We start from the raw sequence: 26,454 nt of genomic DNA on the forward strand, positions 1-26,454 counted from the left end.
CAGCTGTCTTAAATATGCTTAATGAATGAAAGGCAGTGGCTCACGCCTGTAATCCCAACACTTTGGTAGGCTGAGGCAGGAGGATTGCTTAAGGCCAGGAGTCCAAGACCAGCCTAGGCAACATAGTAAGCACTTGTCTCTATAAAAAAAAAATTTTTAATTAGCCAAACATGGTGGTATGTGCCTGTAGTCCTATCTACTTGGGAAACTGAGGCAGAAGGATCACTTGAGCCCAGGAGTTCAAGGTTATAGTGAGCTGCAATTACACCACTGCACTCCAGCCTGGGTGACAGAGACCCTGTCTCTATTAAAAAAAAAAAAAAACTAAAGGAAACCACAGACAAATAAATAAAGGAAGCCAGGAAAACAATGTATGAACAAAATAAGAATATCAGTAAAGAGACAGAAATTATAAAAAAGAAGCATTAGAATTCTGAAGCCAAAAAGTACAGTAACTTAAATGAAAAATGTACTACAGCAAAGGAAACAATCAAGAAAAAAAAAACAGGTCGGGCGCAGTGGCTCACGCCTGTAATCCCAGCACTTTGGGAGGCCAAGGTGGGCAGATCTCTTGAGGTCAGGAGTTTGAGACCAGCCTGGTCAACATGCAAAACCCTATTTCTACTGAAAATACAAAAAAAAAATTAGTTGGGCGTGGTGGTGGGCACCTGTAATCCCAGCTACTCGGGAGGCTGAGGCAGGAGAATCGCTTGAACCCGGGAGGCAGAGGTTGCAGTAAGCAGAGATGGTGCCACTGCACTCCAGGCTGGGCGACAGAGCGAGACACCATCTCAAAACAAACAAACAAACAAACAAAAAACAGTGCACAGAATGGGAAAAAATAATTGCAAACTATCCATCCAACAAGAGATTAATAACCAGAATATATAAGGAGCTCAAACAACTTAACAGCAAAAAAAAAATCCTATTAAAAATGAGCAAAAGATTTAAATAAACATTTCTCAAAAGAAGACATATAAATGGCCAACCAGCATATGAAAAAATGCTCAACATCACTAATCATCAGAGGAATGCAAATAAGAACTACAATTTTATATCATCTCACCCCAGTTAAAACGGCTTTTATCAAGAAGACAGGCAACAACAGATGACAACATGGATGTGGAGAAAGGGGAACCCTCATACACAGTTGGTGGGAATGTATATTAATACAATCACTATGGAGAACAGTTTGGAGGTTCCTCAAGAACTAAAACTAGAACAACCACATGATCTAGCAATTCCACTTACTGGGTATATACCCAAAACAAAGGAAATCAATATAATAAAGAAACATGTGCACTCCTGTGTTTGTTGCAGCATTGTTCACAATAACCAAAATATGGAATCAACCTAAGTGCCCATTAATGGACGAATGAATAAAGAAAATGTGGTATATATACACAATGGAATATTATTCAGCCATAAAAAAGAATGAAATCCTCTTGCTCACAGTAGGATGGATGGAACTGGAGGTCATTATGTTAAGTGAAATAAGCCAGGCACAGAAAGATAAATATCACATGCTCTCACTCATATGTGGGGGCCAGAAAAGTGGATTTTATGAAGATAAAGAGTAGACTAGTTGTTACCAGAGGCCAGGAAGGGTAGGGAGGAGGGACGAAGAGAAAGTGATTAATGAGTACACATATACAGTTTGGTGGAAGAAACAAAGCCTAGTGTTTGGTAGATCAGTAGGGTGACCACAGTTTACAATAATCTCTGTGCATTTTGAAATAGCTAGAAGGGAATAATGCAAATGTTTCTAGCATATAGAAAAGACAAATATTTAAGGTGATGGGCATCTCAAATATACTGATTTAATCTTCACAAATTATACAAATTTATTAAATTATAACATACCTCAAAACTATGTACATCTATTATGCATCAATTTTTAAATTGTTTTAAAATAAAGCAACATGAAATAATTCGTTTATAAACAAAATAATATTGTTTTTAAAAAAACAGGTAAACATAACAATTTGGGTTTCAAACTCCTCATTTTTCCTACATGATTAAAAAAGCAAATGCAAAAAAAATTATAAACCTATGTTAATGAGCACACAATATATAAATATCTGCTCTTTGACAATGACAATATAATGGAAGGAGGCAGAGATTAATATTCAGAATATATAAAGAATTCCTATAACTCAATGACAAAAAAACCCTGATTAAAAATGGCAAAGAATTTGAATAGACATTTCTCCAAATAAAATATACAGATAGCCAAAAAGTACATGAAGGGAAATACAAATAAGTCATTAGGGGAATACAAGTCAAAGCCACAACAAGATACCACTTCACACCTACTAGGGTGGCTATCATTTTTTTTTAAATGGAAAACAACAAGTGTTGAAGAGGATGTGGACAAATTAGAATCTTTGTGCATTGTGGTGGGAATACAAAATGGTACAGCTACTGTGGAAAACAGTTTGGTGGTTCCTCAAAAAGTCAAACATAGAATTACCATATGACCTAGCAATTCCACTCCTAGGTATACAGCCAAAAGGAATGAAAACAAATGGCCAGGTACAGTGGCTCATGCCTGTAATCCCAGCACTTTGGGAGGCCGAGGTGGGTGAATCACCTGAAGTCAGGAGTTCGAGACCAGCCTGACTAACATGATGAAACCCCATCTCTACTAAAAATACAAAATTAGCTGGGCGTGGTGGCACATGCCTGTAATCCCAGCTACTTGGGAGGATGAGGCAGGAGAACTGCTTGAACCTGGGAGGCAGAAGTTGCAGTGAGCCGAGATTGCGCCATTGCACTCCGGCCTGGGCAACAAGAGTGAAACTCTGTCAAAAAAAAAAAAAAGAAAGAAAGGAAGGAAGGAAGGAAGGAAGGAAGGAAGGAAGGAAGGAAGGAAGGAAGGACAGACAGAAGGAAGGAAAACAAAACAGGGACTCTAACACATACCTCTATGTGAGTGTTCATAGTAGCATTATTCAAAAGGTGGAAATAACCCGAGTGTCCACCAACTGATGAACAGATAAATGTGGAGTGTGTGTGTGTGTGTGCGTGTACACACACACACACACACACACACACACTGCAGTATTATTCAGCCACAGAAAGGAATGAAGTTCATATATGGGCTATACAACATGGATGAACCTTGAAAACATTATGCCAAATGAAATAAGCCAGACACAAAAGACAAATATTATATGAATTCACTTATATGAATGATCTAGAATAGGCAAATTCATAAAGTCAGAAGGTAGATTAGAGACTATTAGGGGCTAGAAGGAAGGGTGGATGGGGAGTTACTACTTAACTGGAAGAGTTTCTGTTTGGGGCAATAAAAAATCTTTGGAAATAGTGGAGATGGCCATAAAACTTTGTGAATATTATAAATGTTATTAAATTATACAGTTAAAAATGGATAAAACGGCAAGTTTTATGTTATGTATATTTTACCAAAAAAAAAATAAACAACTACCACGTGACTTATCAGCCAAACACATACTTTTCTGCAAACACACATTATTTGTGTACTCATTTATTCCTTCATCCTCCTTCCTTAAACAGTCTGCTGCAATTCAGGCAAATGTTTTCACACACAAAGGTTTCCTTCTCAGAAACTTCACTGTCAGTGTGAAGCTGAGGCATAAGAACTTGAAGGAGGAGGGGAGGGAAGAACTTGAAGGAAGGACCTTTAATGCTAGGTAGCGTTATAGCATCTTATTTTTTGATAGACAAAATAGAATGCACTAAACAAACACTTCTGGAGCATCTACTAGGTGTCAGGCACTGTTCTAGGGTCTGGGGAGACAGCACAAACAAAAGATAGATATCTCTGTCTGCCCAGGGCTTACATTCTAATGCATTTTGGAAAAGCTCTCCAGAAGATTCTGATATGCCCATCACAACTAGCATAGAGTGGAGAGACATGAGAGCTGCACAGACCCAACCCTATCCGCCTCCCCACCTCTCTGATAGTGAGGTCTAGAGATGAGAATGCTTTCAAGCAACTACTCTCATGTACGAAGGCCTGGTGCTGCCACTCTGAACAGCTCTTAACATTTTTTCCCCTAAAACACTGGTAGCCTTCTGTCATATCAATGGAATAACACCTGGAGTGTGACCTTTGGGCTGAAAGGAGCAGGCATTTTGCTCCTACTTGGATCCAAGGCCCCCAGGCTGATCTAGCACAGGAAAACTAAGTTTTCCTTGTCATCCTGCCTCATTCCTCACTGTTCTACACTGGAGCTTGAGAGCAAAAGTCCTAGCTAACATAAAAGAGTCAACTTTGGGTCAGGCACAGTAGTCACACCTGTAATCCCAGCACTTTGGGAGGCCGAGGTGGGCAGATCACTTGAGGTCAGGAGTTTGAGACCAGCCTGGCCAACATCGTGAAACCCCGTCTCTACTAAAAGTACAAAAATTAGCCAGGCGTGGTGGAGCATGCCTGTAATCCCAGCTAGTCGGGAGGCTGAGGTAGGAGAATCGCTTGAACCCAGGAGGCGGAGGTTGCAATGAGCAGAGACCGTGCCACTACACTCCAGCCTGGGGGACAGAGCAAGACTCTGTCTCAAAAAGAAAAAAGAAAAAAAAAGGGTCAACTTTGCTTTGTTTTCTACTCTGGGCATAGATTTCCCTCAGAGACCTCCTAGGAAGTGGTAATGGGCGGGATTCAGGTTCTGCTCTATCCTGGCCAAATACATCCTCAGCTATATTGAGTTCATCCTTTAATAGATCCCAATTTCCCAATTTCAAACATGTGACCTTAAACAAAGGAGGTACTTGACCTAGGTTTCAATTTCTTTACCTGGGAAAATGGGACCAATATTAGGATCTTCAAACATTTTTATTTTTTGGAGACAGGGTCTCACTCTGTTGCCCAAACTGGAGTGCATTGCTGCAATGACAGCTCACTGCAGCCTTGACCTCCCAGGCTCAAGCAATCCTCCATCAGCCTCAGCCTCCCAAGTAGCTGAGACTACAGGGACATGCCACCATGCCCAGCTAATTTTTATATTTTTAATAGAGACAGGGTTTTGCCACGTTGCCCAGGCTGGTCTTCAACTCCTGGGCTCAAGCAATCCTCCCGCTTCGGCCTCCCAAAGTGCTAGAATTACAGGCATGAGCCACCACACCCAGCCTGATCTTCATACATTTGATGTGAAGGTTAAATGGCTTAACGTATGCAAAGTACTTAACACGGTGACAGACTATTCTAACAGGTGCTCAATAAACAGTTACTATTTTTTTCTACTATTATTTTATTAGAAACAACATAGTGAATGTTTTTGAAGGGTGAAAACTTAAATATTCTTATTCATAATTGCCCAAACTTGGAAGCAACCAAGATGTCCTTCAGTGTCCTTTACATTTGTATGTAAACTGTGGTACACACAAATCACATGCAAATCCTATTACTTCTCTTTTCTGGATTATGTATAACAAAGTACTCATCAAATACTGCAATAGAGATTGGCTAGCTGCTTTCCAAACCTGTTCCTCTTCTTCCAACTAGACTATGTTTCCCTGGCTCCCTTCCAGTTAGATGTGGCCTTGTAACCAAGTTCTGTCCAACAGAAGTGGGCAAAGTGATGCAGAACATTTCCAGGCTTAGCACATAAGTCTTCCCCATATGATCTTCATTTCCTTGCTTCATTCATCAACTGGAGGAGGAGGATTCCAAGGCCATATGGGATGGGGAAGCCACAAGATGGAAGGCATCTGGTCCCTGAATCACAACGTAGAGACAGCCACCTGCCAGTCCCTTGCACTGGTCCATTACATGCGTGAAAAACAAATTTCTCCTATGTTAAGTCACTGAAATTTGGGGTTGGTTTGTTTTAACATCTAGTATTACTCTAATATAAATACCCATATTGATTAAAAGCCAGGTAGCATGCTTTAACTAAAAGAGAAAATTCTCCTAACACATATTCTCTTGTATGTTAAACAGAGGCAATTTAAAAAATACATGAACTTAAGAATCAAACAAAAAGTAAAATGAAAAAGAAGTTACTGGCCAGGTGCAGCAGCTCATGCCTGTAATCTCAGCATTTTAGGAAGCCGAGGCAGGTGGATGGCTTGAGCGCAGGAGTTCGAAATCAGCCTGGGCAACATGGCGAAACCCTGTCTCTACAAAAAATACCAAAAAATTAGCCAGGCGTAGTGGTGAGCACCTGTAGTCCCAGCTACTCAGGAGGCTGAGGTGGGAGGATCACTTGAGCCCAGGAAGTCCAGGCTACAGTGAGCTAGGATTACACCACTGTACTCCAGCCTGCATGACACAGTGAGACCCTGTCTCAAAAAAAAAGAAGAAAGAAGTTACTGATTCTCAAGTCACGTAAGCCTAACTTCACCTCAGGTAAACTAATGTCAAACAGTGTTAATCAGTGCTAGAAAGAGTTTAATGAGAGTAACAGACAGGATGTGTACAGCCTCACCTGTACAATCTTCCAGGCAGGGAAGTTAATAGGTTGCAAGCTAAGAGGGGGATTAACTTCTTTTCCAATCTTTCATCTTAATGACAATGTCAAAACATACAGAAAAGTTGAAAGAAGAGTATATAAAGCATACCCTTTCACTAGGCACCTACATTTAACAGTTAGCTAGTAGGCTGCAATATTTGTTTTCTCTATATAGGTGGTATGTATATTTTTTTACTGAACTTTTTGAAAGTTGCATATGTTAGGATTCATATACTTTACCCCTGAATACTTCAGCTTGCATCTCCAAAGAATGAGTACATTCTCCTGCATAACCTCAATTATCACACCTACAAAAAATAATAGTAATTCTTTAATATCATCTAATACCCAGTCTACATTCAAATATCCCTACCTATCCCCAAAACATCTTTTATAATTCATTTTCATGAACTAGGAGCCAATCAAGTTTCTCGTACTACATTTAGTCTCTTTGACCTCCCTTAATCTAGAACACTCACCCTGCCTTTTTGTTTCCTTTGACGTTGACTTTTTGAAGAGTCTGGGGCAACTGTCTTACAGATCATCCCATATATTGGATTTATCTGATTGTTTTCTCATGGTGTTTTATAACTTGTTTCTCTATCCTCTGCATTTCCTGGAAACTGGAAGATGTGTCTAAGTCCTTGATTTGATTCAGATTAAACACATACAGGAAGGATACTACATAGGTAAAGCTGTACACTTCCTGTATACCATGATACTAGATAGTCCCACAATGAGCAAGGATACATTTGATGACTTGCTTATAAGATGGTGACTGCCAGACCTCTTCACTGTAAAGGTACCTTCTTTTCTTTGCAACAGGCAAGTAACCTGTGGGGTGATAGTACTTTGCAAGTACCATGTTCCCCAATAACCTTTCACCTAGGATTCTGGAATTCATTGAAAACCCTTGTCTAAATAAACTATCACTAGAGGTTGAAAAATTGTGATTTTTCTAATTACAGCGTTCCACAAAGGTTAACTTTTTAATATTCTAAGAAATGCTTTTAGTAAATGTCATTTTTCTATTTTTTAAGATACAAACATTTTACTTCCATTTATAACTTTCAAATAATAAGTAAAAGTATTCTTTATATCCAGAGACCGCTTTACAAAGAACATTTCGACAATCCAAGGAAAATGCTATGTAACCACATAGTACAATCTTCTGTTTATAAAGCATTTTTTTGCTACATAAGTTATTTGCTTCATTTTTAAATAATGTTTAAATTGCAAAAGTAATGTGTCAGTATTAAAGAAAGTTCAGGCCATTTAGAATAATATAAAGGAAAAGTACCACCTCCCCTCTCTCTCTCCCAACAACTCATCCTGCTCCCAAAGGATAAAGCTTGCATATCCTTCCATAAAAGCACATATATCATATATAAATTACATACATCATGTTTGTGTATATACAGTATATAGTTATTGAAAGATCAAATAGAATAATACTATACATGATGTTCTGTGCCTTGCTTTTTTTCCACAACATTATGTGTGGACAGTAGCCTTAAAAGGACATCTCAAAACACCTCTTTTTATCGCTGCATAGTATTCCTTAATGGGAATGTGCTACAATTTAACCAGTCTCATCTGATGAGTTCTGCAACTTATGTCCACTGCAACAAATATTGCTGTCTATATATTGCAACATGCTAGCACAAGTATTTCTGATAGATTTCTGAAAGTCCAAGAATTGAAAATGCTGAATAAAAGAGTAGGTGTGGGCCGGGCACGGTGGCTCATGCCTGTAATCCCAGCATTTTGGGAGGCTGAGGCGGGCGGATCACAAGGTCAGGAGACTGAGACCATCCTGGCTAACATGGTGAAACCCCGTCTCTACTAAAAATACAAAAAGGAATTAGCCGGGCATGGTGGCGGGTGCCTGTAGTCCCAGCTACTCTGGAGGCTGAGGCAGGAGAATGGCATGAACCCAGGAGGCGGAGCTTGCAGTGAGCAGAGATCGCACCACTGCACTCCAGCCTGGGCGACAGAGTGAGACTCTGTCTCAAATAATAATAATAATAATAATAATAAATAAAATTTTAAAAGGGTAGGTGTGTTGTAAATTTTTTTCTAGGTATTAACCAAAAGCTCACCCCAAAATATACAATTTTCCTCACTTCCACTAACTGTGTCCTAATGCATTTTAAAATTACAACAGTCCACTACTGAACAAACCTCAAGTAGTAAAGCCTGCCAAAGAATCACAAAGCCTAAAATGAGAATGGGAACTAATATTTACCAAGTGCTTAAGTGTCAGACACTGCACTTGACCCTTTAGAATATCTCAATAACACAGCAATTCTGTGAGGTAACATAATCTCCATTTTCCAAAAGAGGAAGCTAAGGCTCAGAGAGTTTATCCAATGCTATACAGTTTTATAAGCAACAGGGCCAGCATTTGAACCCAGGGTTATCTGGTACCAAAGTGAGACCATACAGAAGCTGCTCCCAACTGGGGCCAAAGTGAGGGGCTCTTAAAAGGGGGGACTCCTGATTAACCAGGAAGGAGATGGTTCCAAAATGTTTGCTTACAGGTTCAAATGTTAATTTCATGTTACCGCAAAGAGTCATCTTTTTCCCCTTCAGACTCTGCCTATGAGCCCACTCTCAGGCTGTGCTTAGCAATCCAGCTCCACCACAGCAACAGTGAGCCCACAACCCATAGAACCTAGAGGGGCTGATCAACATATTTTTGGAAAGGTGATGGGGTGGTGGAGGAGGAGGAAGCGAGAAGCAGGTGGTGGGTTAGCATGGCAGAGTCAGATTATTTTGGATCCATATCAGTTGTCACAAAAACATTATGGGGGAAGTGGAACTACCGTACATCTGAGAGAGAACCACAATGAACTGGCACAGTCTGTTTATACCAACTTTCCCTGCCCTAAACACTTTCTATTTCTGCTGCAAAGACATGTAGGGCCCAGTAACTTTAGGATGGCACTTAATCACATAACAGAGACAGACAGCTGGGAGCTCCCTGGCCTGACAAAACAGGTTAGACTGGTGGCAGGCAAGTGCCTGGCCCCGCTGCCTTGCAGCTCCAGTGGTGGGGTCTGGGGGCTGCTTTCAACCTTCCTGGGGAGTTAGGTCTGTAGCTACCTTCCCTTGTAGCTGCCCTGGCCTGTCAGGGAGGAATGCTTATAAGTGTCCTTTGGTGGGTGGGGGAGTTCCTTTCTGTTTAAACGTTAAGCATTCACAGTGTGTCTTTTATTTTCCTTAGGTCCTCTGCATCCAAGCAAGCACTTATTATGGGGTCTATTTGTGCACATCACTGCTAATGTAACATTGACTACTCTCTGAGGATAATGGAATAAAGGGAAGGAAAAAGAGGGAGAGAGCGAGTGGGAAAGAGAGGGTGAGAGAGGGAGGGAGGGAGGGAGAGAGAGAGAGAAATCTCTTCCCCTTTCCCCATTTTATCTCCATCCCAGACACAGGGCTCAGAAAAGCTCCAAGGGCACAATTAAGAATTGAAAAGTCATGAAGAAAATTGATAACATAATGTGATTTAAATAGGGAGAAGTAGGCGTCAAATTGAGTGATTTGAGGAGCACGTTAAAATGCTATTACAGCCGGGTGCGGTGGCTCACACCTGTAATCCCAGCACTTTGGGAGGCTGAGGTGGGTGGAGGTCAGGAGTTCAAGACCAGCCTGGCCAAGATGGTGAAACCCAATCTCTACTAAAAATACAAAATTTAGCCGGGCATGGTGGCGGGCGCCTGTAATCCCAGCTACTCAGGAGGCTGAGATGAAGAATTGCTTGAATCCGGGAGGTGGAGTTTGCAGTGAGCCGAGATTGCGCTACTGCATTCAAGCCTGGGCGACAGAGTGAGACTCCGTCTTGGAAAAAAAAAAAAAAAAAAGCTATTACAAGACCAAGAAGCATACAAGGTTATATGGTGACCTCTCCCTCCCACTCCTATTTCACAGCCATCTAGTTCCTCTCCCCCAAGGAAACCAATGTTACTCATCTATTGCATGTCCTTCCAGAGATATTTTACGACTATACCAACAAATATATAAATTTATATATATATAAATTTATCTTAAATGTAAACGCTGTTCTTCTCAGATTAAAGTGTCACTTAAACACAAAAAGGTGGCAGAAATTACATTTTAAAACTTTTTCTCAAAATAAAGAGTTTTGAAATTCACAGTTGAACTCTTTCATTCATAAACATTTAAAAGTTAAATTGTTTGCCTCCAGAAATTAAGTTGGGTTCCCAGCACACAGTGGATACTTTAAAAATGTTTCCTTAGGTCTTTTTGTCGTTCCTTATTCAGAGCCAAGAGGACAATTACTCACTTCCTCTATTGATATAGAGAAATCAAATTTTATTTTTTACTATTAAAAAAGAGAAGTCTTGAAAAATCTTTACTGGATTTACTTGTGTTCAAAGATTTGCTTGACAGTAGTAATCATTTCATTGTGTTTATCAAAACATCATGTTGTACATCTTAAATGCAGACAATTTTTTAAAAGATTTGCAAACTGAATTTTAAGATCAGTTTAAAATCCCCATCCCAATAGTCTTCAGTATACTATGAATAATTAGCTAATCACATGACATTAGAATTCAGATTAGGGGGACCTTGCAGTAGAAGACCAAACATACCTGAGAGAAAGAAGAAATGTTTTCTCACAATTACAGACAGTCCTTAAAATATTAATATTTGGCATAACCTGAGACATCACATATTGACAAACTAAATTTCTTTATACATTTAAAGAAACACTAATACTCAAAGATATAGAACAAAATTACACAGGAATGCTGAGATGATATTGCCTTTTCTGAACAGCCATCAGTTACACTAGATTTGTAACTTGATTGTTCACAAAATAAAACAGTACACTGTAGCACAACCAAATGGCTGAAAGATGGAGGTGAGTTTTAAAAGTACGTATCAGCAAAGGAAAATTCCACTGTTGTCTTTAAGCCTTAAGATAAAGGTGATTGAACTCCTCAGAACACGGAGTACTCTCCAGAAAATATATTTTCAAATCCCCATTTATTTTCCATCCCTTGAGCATGTGTTTACGAATCTGACAAATCTACCTCCTATTTCACATTGTCCTTTAAGAAACTGGGTCTAGGGCCTATTAAATAAAAATATTTTCACGGTTATCTATATAAAGGCAATTTTCATTTGCATCATGGCTTGGAGTCAATCACCTGCAATGACCACGTGCTTCAATTCCCCCCTGTCTGTCTTCTCAGGAAACCTCCCAGCTTACCTGCAGGCCTGGCATCAGTCATTTATCACCAACTGACACAAACCACAGAGCTCAACAACGGTCAGGGATGGAGGCCAAAGTCTGTGTTGAGACCTATAATTCGCAATCACCAAACTCGGTTTTAGACCTGGTCCTGTTTCAAGATCTGTGTAGGTCACTACTTCATCAAAACTGGAGGGCTCTTAACAGCGCTTGCCCCTTACACGGTTTGGCTGCGAGGGCCTGGTGGCCATGAGCCCCGGCTGTCAACAACTAATCAAGAAACATGAGAAGCAAGGCCCAGAACCAAGGGTAATTTTCACATTAAAGGTTAAGGTTTCTGCTTTCCATTCTCTATCAGGGCACCTGGATGGAAACTGAATAAAGAAATCCCTCAGTATATGTGATAAAATAAAATTTTCCCCGTTGGGAACAATCATGAAGTGGCTCGTCTATTTCGTGTGAGGATGCCAATTCAGGGGCTTTAACACCACTGAATTACATTCAAAAAGAGAATACCTGACTCCACTTTGGAGTCATGGGCAGGGCGAGGGGGGAGGCAGGGGGCACAGAAGAGGAAGAGGGATGACTCAGATTATGGCTGACATCCATGTAATAAAGGGAGATTTGTACTGACCACTGTGCATGTAACACACTGTGTACCATTAAATCTAGAAAAGGATGGTAGCATCAGCCCACCCCTAACAACAAAAGATGGCTGACTCCGGAATTAAAACCACGACTTTTCCCCTTCATACATTCGGAAATGTATCTCAAACTCACTCCCTGTTACCGTCTTAGGAATACAAAAGCTCCTCTTCGTTTGAGAAAGCAAGTAACTGGGTATAACTTTCCACTCGGGACATAAGAGCAGGAGGCGTGCCTGTCTCCTCGTCCAGGCCTGACATGGTGGTGCCACCCACTCTGGGTCCTGGACCACTGCTCACCTTTCACCACACTTCATGCTCTGACTTTATCATTAAGAGACCTGGGAATGTGGACCTCAGGAGTGGGTACCCACCCAGGCTGACCATGGATGTGGCGTCCAAGAGGCCCCACTAACCCATACCCAAGCAAAGACACTTTCAGACTTCGTCCCCACTCCCTACTGTGGCCTGTCCCCTGAGGTGATGCAGTCACCTGGGAAGCCACCCACCTCCAGCCACCACGCAGGCACACACACCCTATCGAGCTCAACTGGAGCGGGAGGTGGTGGGTAAGAGGTTTGCAACAGAGACCGAACGGGGCAGACGGAACCGGACCACCTCTGTCCCTTTCATTTTCCTGGGTTCCCAATGCAGAAACGTGGAATAGGGGTGGAATTGTTTTTAACGGTAGCAGAGAGCCAGAAAATGCAGACAGTTGACCTTGGGAACCAACACCGTCGCAGCGGGAAACGTAAAAGAAACGGAACACGTTGGCAAGTGAAGGGGGAGCACCGCGCGGCGCCAGGAGGAGCGCGGCGGCCGAGGGGTGTGGAGGGCGGGGGGTGTAACAGGGGTGCTCACCATAGATCATGGCCAGCCCGGTCTCGTGCAGAAAGCGCACCCGGCGGTGCTTGAAGAGCCAGATGGTGAGGATGGTGAGCGTGAGCAGCAGGATGAAGGTGAGCAGGCTCACGCTGTCTTGCCGGTGGCTCTCCTCCGCCTCCTTCTCAGTAGCGAGCTCCTCCATGGCGCTGCTGTCCTCCGCCGCCGCCCCAGAGGAGGAGGCCGAGGCCGCGGCCGCGACTCGCAGCCCCCAACCCAGCAGCAGCGGCAGCAGCAGCAGCCGCGGCGGCGGCGCCCCGGTAGCCCGACCCGAGCCAGGGCGCGCCGCGTCACCAGGCTCCATGGTCCCGGGGCCCCCCGCGCCTCCTCCGAGCGGGGACCAGCAGCCCGCGCCGTCGGCGGGTTCTGGCAGCACCGCGGACCTGCCGGAGTGGCCGTGGCCGCTGCAGCTCCTCCTCCTACTCGCGCCGGGCCGGGGCTGCGCCCGGGGCCGCGCGGGGGAGGGGCGCGCGCAGTGCGCAGGATCCCCAAGCACCGCCCCCCGCCCGCGCACCTGTTCGTCCCCCGGCCGCGCCACGCCGCACCGCCCCGCGGGCCAACCGAGCCACCCAGGCGGGGCCGGGTGTTGCCCTCGGGTCTGCGGGCCGGCCGCCGGCTGCTTGCCTCTCTGCGCTTCTCACCCCGTCCTGGCGCACCTGCCCAGGCAGTCTGGGGTCGTGGGGCCAGTTCATGGGCAGCCGCCGCCGCACTTCCGAAAGGGGACGCCAGAGGTCGCCGGCGCCTAGCGGGAGCATCGGCTTGGAGTGACTAGCCTTGCGGTCTCGAGTCCCGTCTCTGGCGCCACGGCGAAGTGTTTAATCTCAGGCCAGTGTGCAGCCGCCCTGGGCCCAGTAAAGTGGGGGCTGTCAGTGAACCGAGCAGCCCCGAAGCCACGTTAGCCCCTACACCTCTCTTTCCTCATCTCTCAGGTTGCCCTTCCAGCCCCAGAATCTGCTAGGTTTCATTCAAACCTCTGTTCTCATCAGACTCAAATGTGAGGACTGATAAGGAGTTGGAATCGGGGGAGGGCATTGAAGTATCTCCTTCCTCACTTGAGGGAATAGACTTCGTCTGCGCTGTGCTACTAATCCCCTTGGGGAATAGGGTTGAACCAGAAGGAACTGAACGCTTGCCATTCCTGGTAGATGAGCAGTAGCTGGTCCTAAGGTGGTGGTGGGGGGTGGGGGTTACCCTGATGACCCTTTCTTTTATGTTGCTCACCTGGTAGCTCAGAGAGTCTTTTAATGACTCTTAAGACCAAACCCAGCTCTGAACAAAATTATGGCGTGGACTCTGAAGGATGAAGCCTCTTGGAACAAATTCTCAGGAAAACTAGAATCTTCAATCCACCTTGCTCCTCTGGTCAAGGAAGAAACAAGATCAGATTAATCACTGAGTTCCCAGTGCTTAGCACTGTACTCATGTGTTTATTGAACCACTCTGAAATCTCTACCAAAACTGCCCATGTTTTCGCTCCCAGGGGAGTTTGCATTTTTAAGAGGATTCATTGAAGAAGGTGATGCTTAACCAAATGAAATAATAGGGTAGAGGTAGCATTAGGTAAGAAAACTCTTTGGAGTACTGCAGCCTTCCTGGTTCCCCTGTAGGTGAGCACTCTGCCAAAGCTGTTTAGTGGTTTCTTTAAAGCAGGGAAATCTCTTCATCTACATTTTAGCTAGCCCCTTTCCCAACTCCTCTAGGCAGTCACTCAGCCCCTGCAAACATCCGTATACCTTGAAGTTCCACACAGGTTTCCAATAAAATTGCAAATACTTAAAACCTGGATGGGCACTGTGTTGGTCATAATATTATGCCCCTTTGGGTGCCCAGTACTCAAGGACAGAATTTCTCTCTTTAGAAAAGGGCAACTCAGGAGCTACCTTAAAAGTACAGACTTCTTAGTATTTGTGGCGGATTGTATTTTTTAAAAAGATGGCCACAATCATATTTCCAATCCCAGAACCTTACCATCCCCCATCAAGAAGGGGCATCTATGTTCCCTCCCCTTGAACCTCAGTGGACCTTTGTGACTCCCTCAAAGAATATAATGTGGTAATGGAGATTATGTGATTTGTGAGGCTAGGTCATAAAAGGTAATCTAGCTCCTGCCTGTTTCATTCTGTCACTTTCCACTCTAGCTAGGCTGGGCACGGTGGCTCACGCCTGTAATCCCAGCACTTTGGGAGGCCAAGGCGGGCGGATCACCTGAGGTCAGGAGTTCAAGACCAGCCTGACCAACATGGCAAAACCCTGTCTCCACTAAAAATACAAAAATTAGCCGGGTGTGGTGGTGTGTGCCTGTAATCCCAGCTACTTGGGAGGTGGTGGCACGAGAATCACTTGAACCTGGGAGGCAGAGGTTGCAGTGAGCCAAGATTGCACCACTGCACTCCAGCCTGAGTGACAGAGTGAGACCCTGCCTCCAAAAACAAAAAAACAAACAAACAGACAAAGAAATCTAGCTACCTGGAAGCTGACATACTGAAGAAACCATGTAGAGAGACCATGTAGCAATAGAGGTAGATGCCACAGGAGACCCAACTTTTTGAGTGTTCCCAGCCCAAATGCCACACATGTGAATGAATGAGTCTTCAAATCAATTCATTCCCAGCCACCATCTTACTGTAGACATATGAGAGGCCCCAAGCAAGAACCATGTCGCTGAACCTAACCAACATCTGCAACTGTAGCATAATAAAATGATTGGTGTTATTTTAAGCTACTAAGTTTGAGGGTGGTTTCTTCCACAGCAATAGATAACCAGAAGAGTATTTATTATGTAAAGTAGTTCCCTTGGGTAGAGTATGAAAAGACTAGTCCCAACCATTCACAAATACACACCAAAGAAAACACTCCATTATCTCTACATATTTATGTGTGAAAACTAACCTATATAATACAGGAGTTCTGATTTCAGTTAACACAGAATAATCACACTAAACCCATTACCTGCTACTGAATACAGCTATAAAATGTGAACAGAATGCATGCAGCAACTATTTGAGGACTCTGGAAAGTAAATTGTACCACATAAACTGAGGAAAAACAACAGAATTTGAAGTAAAACTGAACTGGCGGTGAGTTTACCATTTTTTTCCTCCAGTCTCCACTAGACTGGACTCAAGGCAGCTTAACACCCGGAAGGGAGCATCAACATGGACAGAGAGAGCTCCAGGAAAAGCAGAAAATTGGTCTCCTAATATTCAGAGAAAGTAGGAGAAATGTGCCATTTTTTTTCTTTTCTCCATTCTCTTACATTTTAGCCAATAAGCAATCCCACTGTGGCACCTCAGTCAACAGTGACAATGGAGACAGCAATACCTTCAAGCACCCAAAAAATGCTAAGGGAGGGGAGAACCTTCCTCTCTGTTTGAAGTAGCTCTGGTCCCAAGACAGTGGGGCCAAAACCTCAATGATATATATTTTTTCACTCTCTCTGTCCTGATGCTTGGCCCAAGACATGGGCAAAGTTTCAGGAAATACATAACAGAGAGGATTAAATAAAGACCCAGATTTCTGGACAGGCACAGTGGCTCACCCCTGTAATCCCAACATTTTGGGAGGCTGAGGTGAGTGGATTTGTTGAGGCCAGGAGTTGGAGAACAGCCTGGGCAATGTAGCAAGACCCTGTCTCTATGAAACATTTAAAAATAAAATTAGCTGGGCACTGTAGTGCTTGCCTGTAGTCTTGGCTACTCAAGAGGCTAAGGTGGGAGGCTCACTTGAGCTCAGGAGTTCGAGGCTACAGTGAGCTATGATCACACCACTGTACTCCAGCCTGGGCGACAGAGCGAGACCCTGTCTTTAAATAAATTAAATAGTCTAGATTTCTTGCCAATTGATTAAAAGGGGAACTCCAAGGCATTACAAAGTACCAAGGAGACAGTAGAGAGGAGAGGACCTTGGGAAAGGTCCTCATAAAGTTTTTATGAACTCCTAGGTTCACCCCAACCTGCACATGGATCTGATCCTAAACAGCATACCAAAGACTGTGATAACTGAACTAAGAGGCAGACCACCACCCAAGCCCTAGACTAGCCACTGGATAAAACACATGTAGGACAGATCTGAATAGCATTACAAACTTTTGAAAACTGAATTGACTTTGGAGCCACTATCCACAAAAGGCATGTCAGAACTTGTGATCTAAACCCAAGCATGTCTATTACAAACTAAAACAAAAATATGAATATTTCCCCATAGTATTAAAACAAGATACAAAGTCCTATAACATAATATTCAAAATGTCCAGGATACAACCCAAAATTATTCAATACCTGAAGAACCATGAAAATCTTAACTTGGGTGGGAAAAGGCAAACAACAGACACCACTGCTGAGGTGACACCAATGTTGGAATTATCTGAAAAAGACTTTAAAGCAGCTATTATAATGATGCTCCAACAAGTAAGGACAAATAATCTTGAAATGAATGTAAGGATAAAAGGCTCAGCACAGGAGTAAAAGATAAAAGAAGAACCAAATTGAAATTTTAGGCTGGGCACAGTGGCTCACACCTGTAATCCCAGCACTTTGGGAAGCCAAAGCGGGTAGATCACAAGGTCAGGAGTTCCAGACCAGCCTGGCCAACATGGTGAAACCCCATCTCTACTAAAAATACAGAAATTCACTGGGCATGGTGGCATGTGCCTGTAATCCCAGCTACTGGGAGGCTGAGGCAGGAGAATAACTTGAACCTGGGAGGTGGAGTTTGCAGTGAACTGAGATCGCACCACTGCGCTCCAGCCTGGGTGACAGAGTGACACTCCATCTCAAAAAAAAAAAAAAAAATTTTATAAGTGAAGAATACAATAGCTGGAATTTTAAAATTGGATGGATGCAATAGCAGAATAGAGATGAAAGAGTCAGTAAATATGAAAATAGATCAATAGAAATTATCCAACCTGAATAGCAGAGAGGAAAAACTGAAAAATAAATAGAGCCACAAAGACCTATAGGAGATAATAAAATATCTAACATTTGTGTCTTTAGAGTTACAGAAGGAGAAGAGAAACAGTGTGGTACAGAAAAAAAGATGTGAAAATATAATAACTGAAAACATTCCAGATAAAGCAAAAGACACAAGCCTGCAGATTGAAGAACCTCAGCAAAACCCAAGCAGGATAAGCCCAAAGAATCAAAGCACAGACACATTATATTCAAACTGCTGAAAAGAAAAACAAAAAAATATGTTTAAAGCAGAAAGATAAAAATGAAATATTACATACAGGGTAACAACAATTCAGATGACTACGGATTTCTCATCAGAAACCAAGAAGGTCATAAAGACATGCACAGCATTTTTAATGTGCTGAAAGAACTGTTAACCAAAAATAATACATCCAACAAAAATAGATTTCCGTGTGAAGAAATAACACCAATACTGTACAGTCTCTTCTAGAGAGTCAGACAGTTGAAGAAAAGAAAGCTACATACCAATATCTCTCATGAACTTAGACATAAAAATTCTTAACAAAATATTAGTAAATTGAATCTAACAATGTATAAAAAGAAGTGTACACCATGACCAAGTGGTATTTATCCTAGGATTACAAGGCTTGTTCAACATGAGAAAATCACTCAATGCAATCCACCATATTTACTGTCTAAAGAAGAAAAGCTGCCTGATCATATTCACTGATGCGGAAAAAAGCACTGACAAAATTCAACATCCATTCATGATAGCTTTCAGCAAAATAGGAATAAAAGGGAACTTCTTTGACCTGATAAAGAGCAGATACCCGCCCCCCCCAAAAAAAAAAACCGCACAGAATATCTAGCATTATTCTTAAAAGACTGAATTCTTTCCCCCCAAGGTCGGGAAAAGGCAAGGAAGTCCACTATCACCACTCTTAGTCAACATTGTATTGGAACTCCAAGTCAGTGCACTAAGACAGAAAAACGAAATAAAAGGCATACGTATATAGCAAAAATCACAATATGTAAATTTTAATGGAATGCTGGGGAAACAGAGGAACTAAAAACAGAGGGAACAAAAAGAAAAGGGAGGAAAAAAGAGAAATTCTCAAAGGATATTAGAAAAATTCTCCTATTCATAGATAATATGATCATCTACTTAGAAAAATCCCATGAAATCTACAAAATCCTAGAACCAAATAAGCGAGTTTAGCAAGGTCTCAAGGTGCAAGGTCAGCACACAAAAACCAATCATATTTCTATATACAGGCTATGTGCAACTGGAGATTTTTTTTTTTTTTTGGTGGAGTCTGGCTCTGTCACCTAGGCTGCAGTGCAGTGGTGCGATCTCGGTTCACTGCAACCTCCGCCTCCAGGGTTCAAGTGATTCTCCTGCCTCAGCCTCCCAAGCTGGGATTACAGGCACCCACCACCACACCTGGCTAATTTTTGTATTTTTAGTAGAGACAAGGTTTTGCTGTGCTGGCCAAGCTGATCTCGAACTCCTGACCTCACCTGATCCGCCTGCCTCGGCCTCCCAAAGTGCTGGGTTTATAGGTGTAAGCCACTGCACCTGGCCAAAAAATCTTTAAAATGTATCATTCACAATAGCATAAAAGAAAAATATTTAGGTATAAATTTTTAACAAAACATGTCCAGGATCTATATGCTAAAATCTATAAAATGTTGATGAAAGAAATCAAAGAAGACCTGAATAAATGAAGAGACATGCCATGTTCATGGATTGAAAGACTAAGCAAAGATGTCAAATCTCTCCAAATTGATATACAGATTTAATAAAATTTCCATAAAAATCCCAGCAAAATGTTTGGTGAATATAGCCATGTGAAATATAAAATTAATAGGAAAGTCAAAGTAACAGACTAGCCAAAACAATTTTGAAAAAGAAGAATAAAATTGGAGGCCTCACACTATCCAATTTAAGATGTACTGTAATGCTACTATGTAAAGTAATAAAGTATAATTAAGGCAGGGTAGCATTGGTGAAGGAATAGATATATACATCAATGGGACAAAATTAGAGTCCAGAAATAGGTCTACATACAAAATTGATTTTTCACAAAAGTGCAAAAGCAATTAAATGGACAAGGTACGTTCTTTTCAATGAATTGTTTGGAATTATTGGGCATCCATACACAAAAAGAATGAACCTTGAGCTAAATCTTATACCTTGTACAAAAATGAATTTTATGTAGATTATAGATTTAAATGTAACATACAAAACTGTGAAACAGTTACAAAAAAACATAAGAACACCTTCCTGATCTTGGATTAAGCAAAGAGTGCCTAGATATGACACCAAAAGCACAATCCTTATATGAAAAAATTGATAATTGGACTGCATCAAAATTAAAAGTTTTTGCTCTGCAAAAGACACTTTTAAAGTAATGAAAAGACAAGCTACAGAGTGGGAGAAAATATTTACAAAACATATTCAACAAAGGACTTATATCCATAGTACATAAGAAATTCTCCAAACTTAATAAGAAAACAACCCAGTTGAAAAATGGGCAGAAGGTTTAAACTAACACTTTACAAAAGACGGTATGTGGATGAGAAATCATTACATGAAGAGATGTTTAACACCATTAGCCATTAGGGAAATAAAAATTAATACCATGATTGCCACCTATTAGATTGACTTAGAATATTAGAAATAGAATGACTAAATAAAAAATACTGACAACACCAATTGGAGATGAGAACGAAGAGCCCCTGGAACTCTCTTACATTGCTGGTGGGAATGCAAAATGGTAAACCACACTGGAAGAGAGTTTGGCAGTTTCTTATAAAGTTAACATGCATTTATCCATAAGAACAAGCAATCTCACTCCTAGGTATATATGTATATATCCAAGGGAAGTGAAAATGTGTTCATCCAAAAACCTGCACATGGATTTTTTTGTTGTTGTTTTGAGACAGAGTCTCGCTCTGTCACCCAGGCTGGAGTGCAGTGGCACAATCTTGGCTCACTGCACCTTCCGCCTCCCAGGTTCAAGCAATTCTTATGCCTCAGCCTCCCAAGTACCTGGAATTATAGGCATGTGCTACCATGCCCAGCTAATTTTTGTATTTTTAGTAGAGACAGGGTTTCACCATGTTGGCCAGGCTGATCTTGAACTCCCGACCTCAAGTGATCCACCCGCCTCGGCTTCCCAAAGTGCTGGGATTACAGGTGTGAGTCACTGCGCCCAGCTTTTTACATGGATGTTATTAGCAGCTTTATTTATAATAGCCAAAAACTGAAAACAACCCAAATGTCCTTCAGTGGGTGAATGAATAAAAAACTGTTGTATGTTCATACAATGGAATACCATTCAGCAATAAAAATGAATGAACAATTGATATACTAATAATTTGGATGAATATCAAAGGCATTATGCTGAGTGGAAGTGAGTCTCAAAAGGTTGCACACTATATTATTCCATTTTATGACATTCTTGAAATGATAAAAGTATAGTTACAGAGAATGGATCAGTAGTGTCTGGGGCTAAGTGGGAGGGGAAGCGTATAACTATAAAGGGATAACACAAGGGAGGTTTGGGGATGATGGAACCATTCTATATTCTGATTGTAGTGATGGTCGTATGAATCTGTACATGTGTTAAATTCAAATAATTGTACAAGAAAAATAAATATTGCTGTAAGTTAACTTAAATAATTTCTCTCTGTCATGTGTTAACAAATCCTCTGCTTACCCTTGGACATGCTACAACTTTATATTAGTTTAAGACGGTGGTTAAGGCCTCAAGAAGTCCCCAAGAGCTATGTCCTGGGTTCAGTTACCCTGAAATGTGGCAGATGAGGAAAACTGAAACCTTAAATTCAGGCACACCCACAGGATACTATGAAATATATGGGCATAAACACTAGCATTGGCGGGGCGTGGTGGCTCACGCCTGTAATCCCAACACTTTGGGAGGCCGAGGCGAACGGATCACTTGAGGTCAGGAGTTTGAGACCAGCCTGGCCTACATGGTGAAACCTCATCTCTACTAAAAATAGGAAAATTAGCCGGGTGTGTTGGCGGCATCTGTATTCTCAGCTACTCAGGAGGCTGAGGGAGGAGAATCACTTGAACTCAGGAGGCAGAGGTTGCAGTGAGCCAAGGTTGCGCCACTGTACTCCAGCCTTGGTGACAGAGGGAGACTCAGTCTCAAGGAAAAAAAAAAAAAAAGAACCAGGAAGGAAGCTTCTCCCCTCTGGCTGCCTTCCACTCTCCCACAAGTGCCTCCCATTGGCAGCACCTCAGCAGCAGCAACCAGGCATCCTAAGAGGACCTCATATCTATTCTGCATGGCCTTTGCTCTGTACCGCCAGGTTCTGGTAATCCTACCTCTTCCCTGTTGTTTTTCCAAGTTTAGGGATAGTAGCTGCTTCTTGTAGTTATTATCTCTGGGTTCTCTCACAGTTGCCTTTTTGCTATCTCATTTCTGCATTACCTATGTAACCAATTCCTTATCTTAACCTCCTCTGTGGGAACATGTAGTGGCCTGTTTTCCTGTGGACGCTGACTGATACTCAGCCTTTGGAGACTTGAAGTATAGAGTCAGAGGGCAACCAGTTGTGAAGCTGACCCTGAATTCCTTGTGTTTGTTTGGCCTCTGCTTGCATTTGTTCCTGCACTTGAAGATAAAATCACAATTTCAAAGCGCGGTACACAGGGCCTATGGTAGACTTTGCTGGTGGTTCCTAATATTTCTGATTCCCTTCTTGCAAAACAGATGGATTGCATTGATTGCATTTTTCACCTCTTTGACGTTTGAGGTGACTTTATGACTTGCTTTGGCCAACGAAATGAGAGTAGAAGTGGTGAATGTCATTTCTGGGCAAAAGTATTTAAGAGCAGATGCATGTGTTCTCTCCACCTGCTGCAGTGAGTCCTAAAGCCTCACGCTGAGATGGTAAATTATAGGGTGGAAAAGCCTGTGTGACATGTAGTCTGGGAGATAATTTTTATTTTACTTCACGGTTGTCACCACAGTGTAAAGTAGCCTATCCTGACTAATAATACATTTGTGATTCACCCCCTGCCACCTCCCCTCCGTCTCACTCTTCCCTAAATGCATCAAGATACCTTACACCTTTGGGCTGTGCCTATGCTCCACCTCTTGCCTTACCAATCATTTTGACCTGGCAGCTGCTGCTAGTTGTTCAAAGCCCAATTCAGATGCTACCTACTCCAAGAAGCCTCCTTCATCTGGATCTGGGATGTTTCCTATATTTTCTCCTAATAGCTCATGTTTACTCTTTTTTTTTTAGACAGAGTCTTCTGTCACCCAGGCTGGAGTACAGTGGCACGATCTCGGCTCACTGCAACCTCCCCTCCTGGGTTCAAGGTATTCTCCTGCCTCAACCTCCCTAGTGACTGGGACTACAGGCGTGCGTCACCACGCCTGGCCAATTTTTTTTTCTTTTTGTATTTTTAGTGGAGACGGGGTCTTGCCATGTTGGTCAGGCTGGTCTCGAGCTCCTGGGCTCAAGTGATCCACCCATCTTGGCCACCCAAAGTGCTGGGATTACAGGCGTGAGCCACCGCCACACCTATAAAGTAAACATGGCCTCCTGTTTACTTTTAACATGACATTTCCCACATTGTATCATATTATCAGATTATTTATTGATATACCCACTTTATATTAAGCTCTTTGGAGGCAGGGATGGAGTGTCTTCTGTTGTATTTTTTGCTGTTGTTTTATTTGTTTAGCTCTAGCTTAAAAAATGCATTGAGCATAATGCCTGGTACATAGCAGATGTTCAAAAATATTTGTTGAAAGAATAAATTATTTCAACAAAATAAATAAATACATTTATTATAAAGTATAAATAAAGCAGAGGATATGTTTTTAAAAATTTAGCTATATACTTATAATGCAATTTAATTGGAAGTCATTTTGTGCATTCTATATTTTGTCAAGGTACCCCATGTGGATTCTTGGTCATCTACTTTATTTAGAATTCATATCTCTTAGTCATTATTTGCTTTTTTTCTAATGTATTTTCTGCCTCTTTCTTACTTTTGTTGCTCTGTTTCTATGGAATATCAGCTGGCAACATTCACTTAGTTGATCTATGTTGGTAAATATGTATAGTTAAAATTCAATTCAGTCCGGGGAAACTGGAAAGATTTAAATATCTTGAATGTTTAATGATATTTAATTAAATATCTTGAATGTTTAATGATATTTAATTAAATATCTTTAATGTTTAATGATATTTCATTAAATATCTTTAATTAAATATATTTAAAGATTTAAATATATTTAATGCTATAGTAACCCTGTAGCATGTTTCAAATTAAATAAAAGCTACTTTTAAATATAAAGGGGTTATTTTTGTCAGCTGCTTTATTACCTCCAAACCAGAGCTGTTCATTTTTTATTCTATTTCCAAAAACCAAATATCCCTCCCAAGTCAATTTCAAAATATAATCTTAGTTCAGATTCTCTAGAACAAAAGCAAAGTCATTTCTAGGCACTCATAGTTTTGTTTTATGTTTCTCATTATGCACATTGAGATTCCTCTAAATGTGAGTCATTTAAGCAAAACCTTGGGAAACCTCCAGATTCCTTTTTAATTATCTTAAATTCATCTGAAAATATTTCAGCAAATGCAGGAGAGAATGCCCTTATTAGCAAGATGTTTTAAAATCAAGAAGAGCCTATTATGAACTCAAGATACTCCCTAAAGGTTTTATTAACAGTTCAGGATTGTCCCTTCTATCTGCCTGTTCCTGTCTCACTACAGATAGCAAAATGTAGGAATTGCAGTTTTTAGCTCCTTTTAGCATCTTCCAGATTTGGGCTTCCATCCAAGCTCCCACTGCAGTGCACCACTCTGTGAGTCGATGACAGGCAAGGTCGAACAGCCCCTGGGGAACCTTCGCAGATGTGTTGAATACCATAAACATAAATAGATAATCCTTATCTTAAAGCAAGAGAGGCAGAAAGACACGGAGAAGACCCAGGCACCCTTGCCTTCATGTCTGTACAGACCCACATGGACTGTATGTTTAGGATTCAGTAGCCATGTTAGAAAAATGCTACCTCAGACCCTATTCAGGGTTAGCTACAGTAACCTTAGGAGTCCCTTCTGATCATCCTCTTCCCATGGCAGCTGCAAACTTTTGCCTCTGCCATGTATGGGAAAATTGATCACTTAAAAGGAACTCTTAAGGTTTATTAGAAATGCTTTTGCTGTAAGTGGCAGAAAACCTGCTCCCAAAGACTGAAGTGAGTAAGACTTTATCTTGCTCATATAACAGGCATTCTCTCAGTAGGAAACCACCAGCTCAGTGACTCAAGGATGTAACACGACTCAAGGATGCAATCCTAACATGCCAAGCTGTTAGGATTGAGAAAGAGATACTGCAACTGGAAACATCAGGTATAGGTTTAGAGCAGGGAAAAGTGGGAAGGGCCCTGCAGCCTCTCTCCTTTTATCAAGAAGGTGAAAGCTTCCTCAACCCTATCTCCCTGAGGCTCAGCCAACTCCTGTTTGGATCTCATTGCCCAGAACTTGATTAAGTGGCCACCTCTGGCTGCAAGAGAGGCTGGAAAAATGGGGAACAGTTTGTCACAATTGGCTTGGTGCAGTTGCAAGACATTGCCTGGCAGGGCACACTGATGCTTCAAAGAAAATTAAGGATCCAGTAGCTATGAAGAAGGGAGTGGGTAGGCAAGTGCTAAGCTCTACCTCCACGAGACTAATCAGGAGCATTACACCCAATTATAAGGCAACCGATTTTTGCTGGAGCCTTTGTTTAGAATGTGCCATGGAGGATGGTACTGTGTCTGCTAAGAGGATTCTCCTCCCATATTCACCAATAGAAAGGAACGCTATAATGTGGATGAACCTCAAAAACACTATGCCAAGTGAAAGAAGCCAGACACATGATTCCATTTATATCAAATATCCAGAATAGGCAAATCCATAGAGACAGAACACAGATTGGTGGTTACTAGGGGTGAGAGGGAAGGGGTAATTGAGGGCAAGCATTTAACAGGTTTAAGGTTTCCTTTTGGAATAATGAAAATGTTTTAGATCTAGATAGAGGTGACTGTTGTACAACATTGTGAATGTACTAAACACCACCAAATTGTATACATTAAAGTGGTTGGTTTGGGGTTACATGTAATTTAACCTCAATAAAAAAAAAGAATATTCTCTTCCCTTCTGCTGAACAAAATATTACGAGCTTTATGCCAATCAGCTTTGTACAGCATTTATACTTCAGTCCCTACAAATTCATCTTGGCAGTAGTAGTTTTAATATGAGCCACTTATCTGTGGCTGAGGCAGAGACAACTAGTCACCCTCCAATATCCT

The 26,454-nt window shown here is 41.7% G+C and overlaps 1 protein-coding gene across 10 annotated transcripts in view, besides 2 other annotated features; it reads right to left on the reverse strand.

Moving 5' to 3' along the window:
* SLC9A7 (solute carrier family 9 member A7) overlaps positions 1-13,583 on the reverse strand; it is a 159,868-nt gene extending 146,285 nt beyond the window's left edge. For all 10 annotated transcript variants that reach the window (XR_007068203.1, NM_032591.3, XM_017029905.2 and 7 more), the window contains exon 1: positions 13,170-13,583. Coding sequence is in view for 9 of the 10 variants with exons in the window: in NM_032591.3 (NP_115980.1) it covers positions 13,170-13,494 (325 nt within the window). In the remaining variant the exon portion in view is untranslated. The remainder of the gene's footprint in view (positions 1-13,169) is intronic.
* Positions 13,355-13,494: a silencer, noted in NCBI's record as "silent region_20793". NCBI's record gives its function as "represses an Ori minimal core promoter by ATAC-STARR-seq in GM12878 lymphoblastoid cells {active_cell/tissue: GM12878}" and the evidence as "EXISTENCE:reporter gene assay evidence [ECO:0000049][PMID:35858748]".
* Positions 13,515-13,864: a silencer, noted in NCBI's record as "silent region_20794". NCBI's record gives its function as "represses an Ori minimal core promoter by ATAC-STARR-seq in GM12878 lymphoblastoid cells {active_cell/tissue: GM12878}" and the evidence as "EXISTENCE:reporter gene assay evidence [ECO:0000049][PMID:35858748]".

This window comes from Homo sapiens, chromosome X (genome assembly GCF_000001405.40).
Source record: "Homo sapiens chromosome X, GRCh38.p14 Primary Assembly".
NCBI lineage: Eukaryota > Metazoa > Chordata > Mammalia > Primates > Hominidae > Homo > Homo sapiens.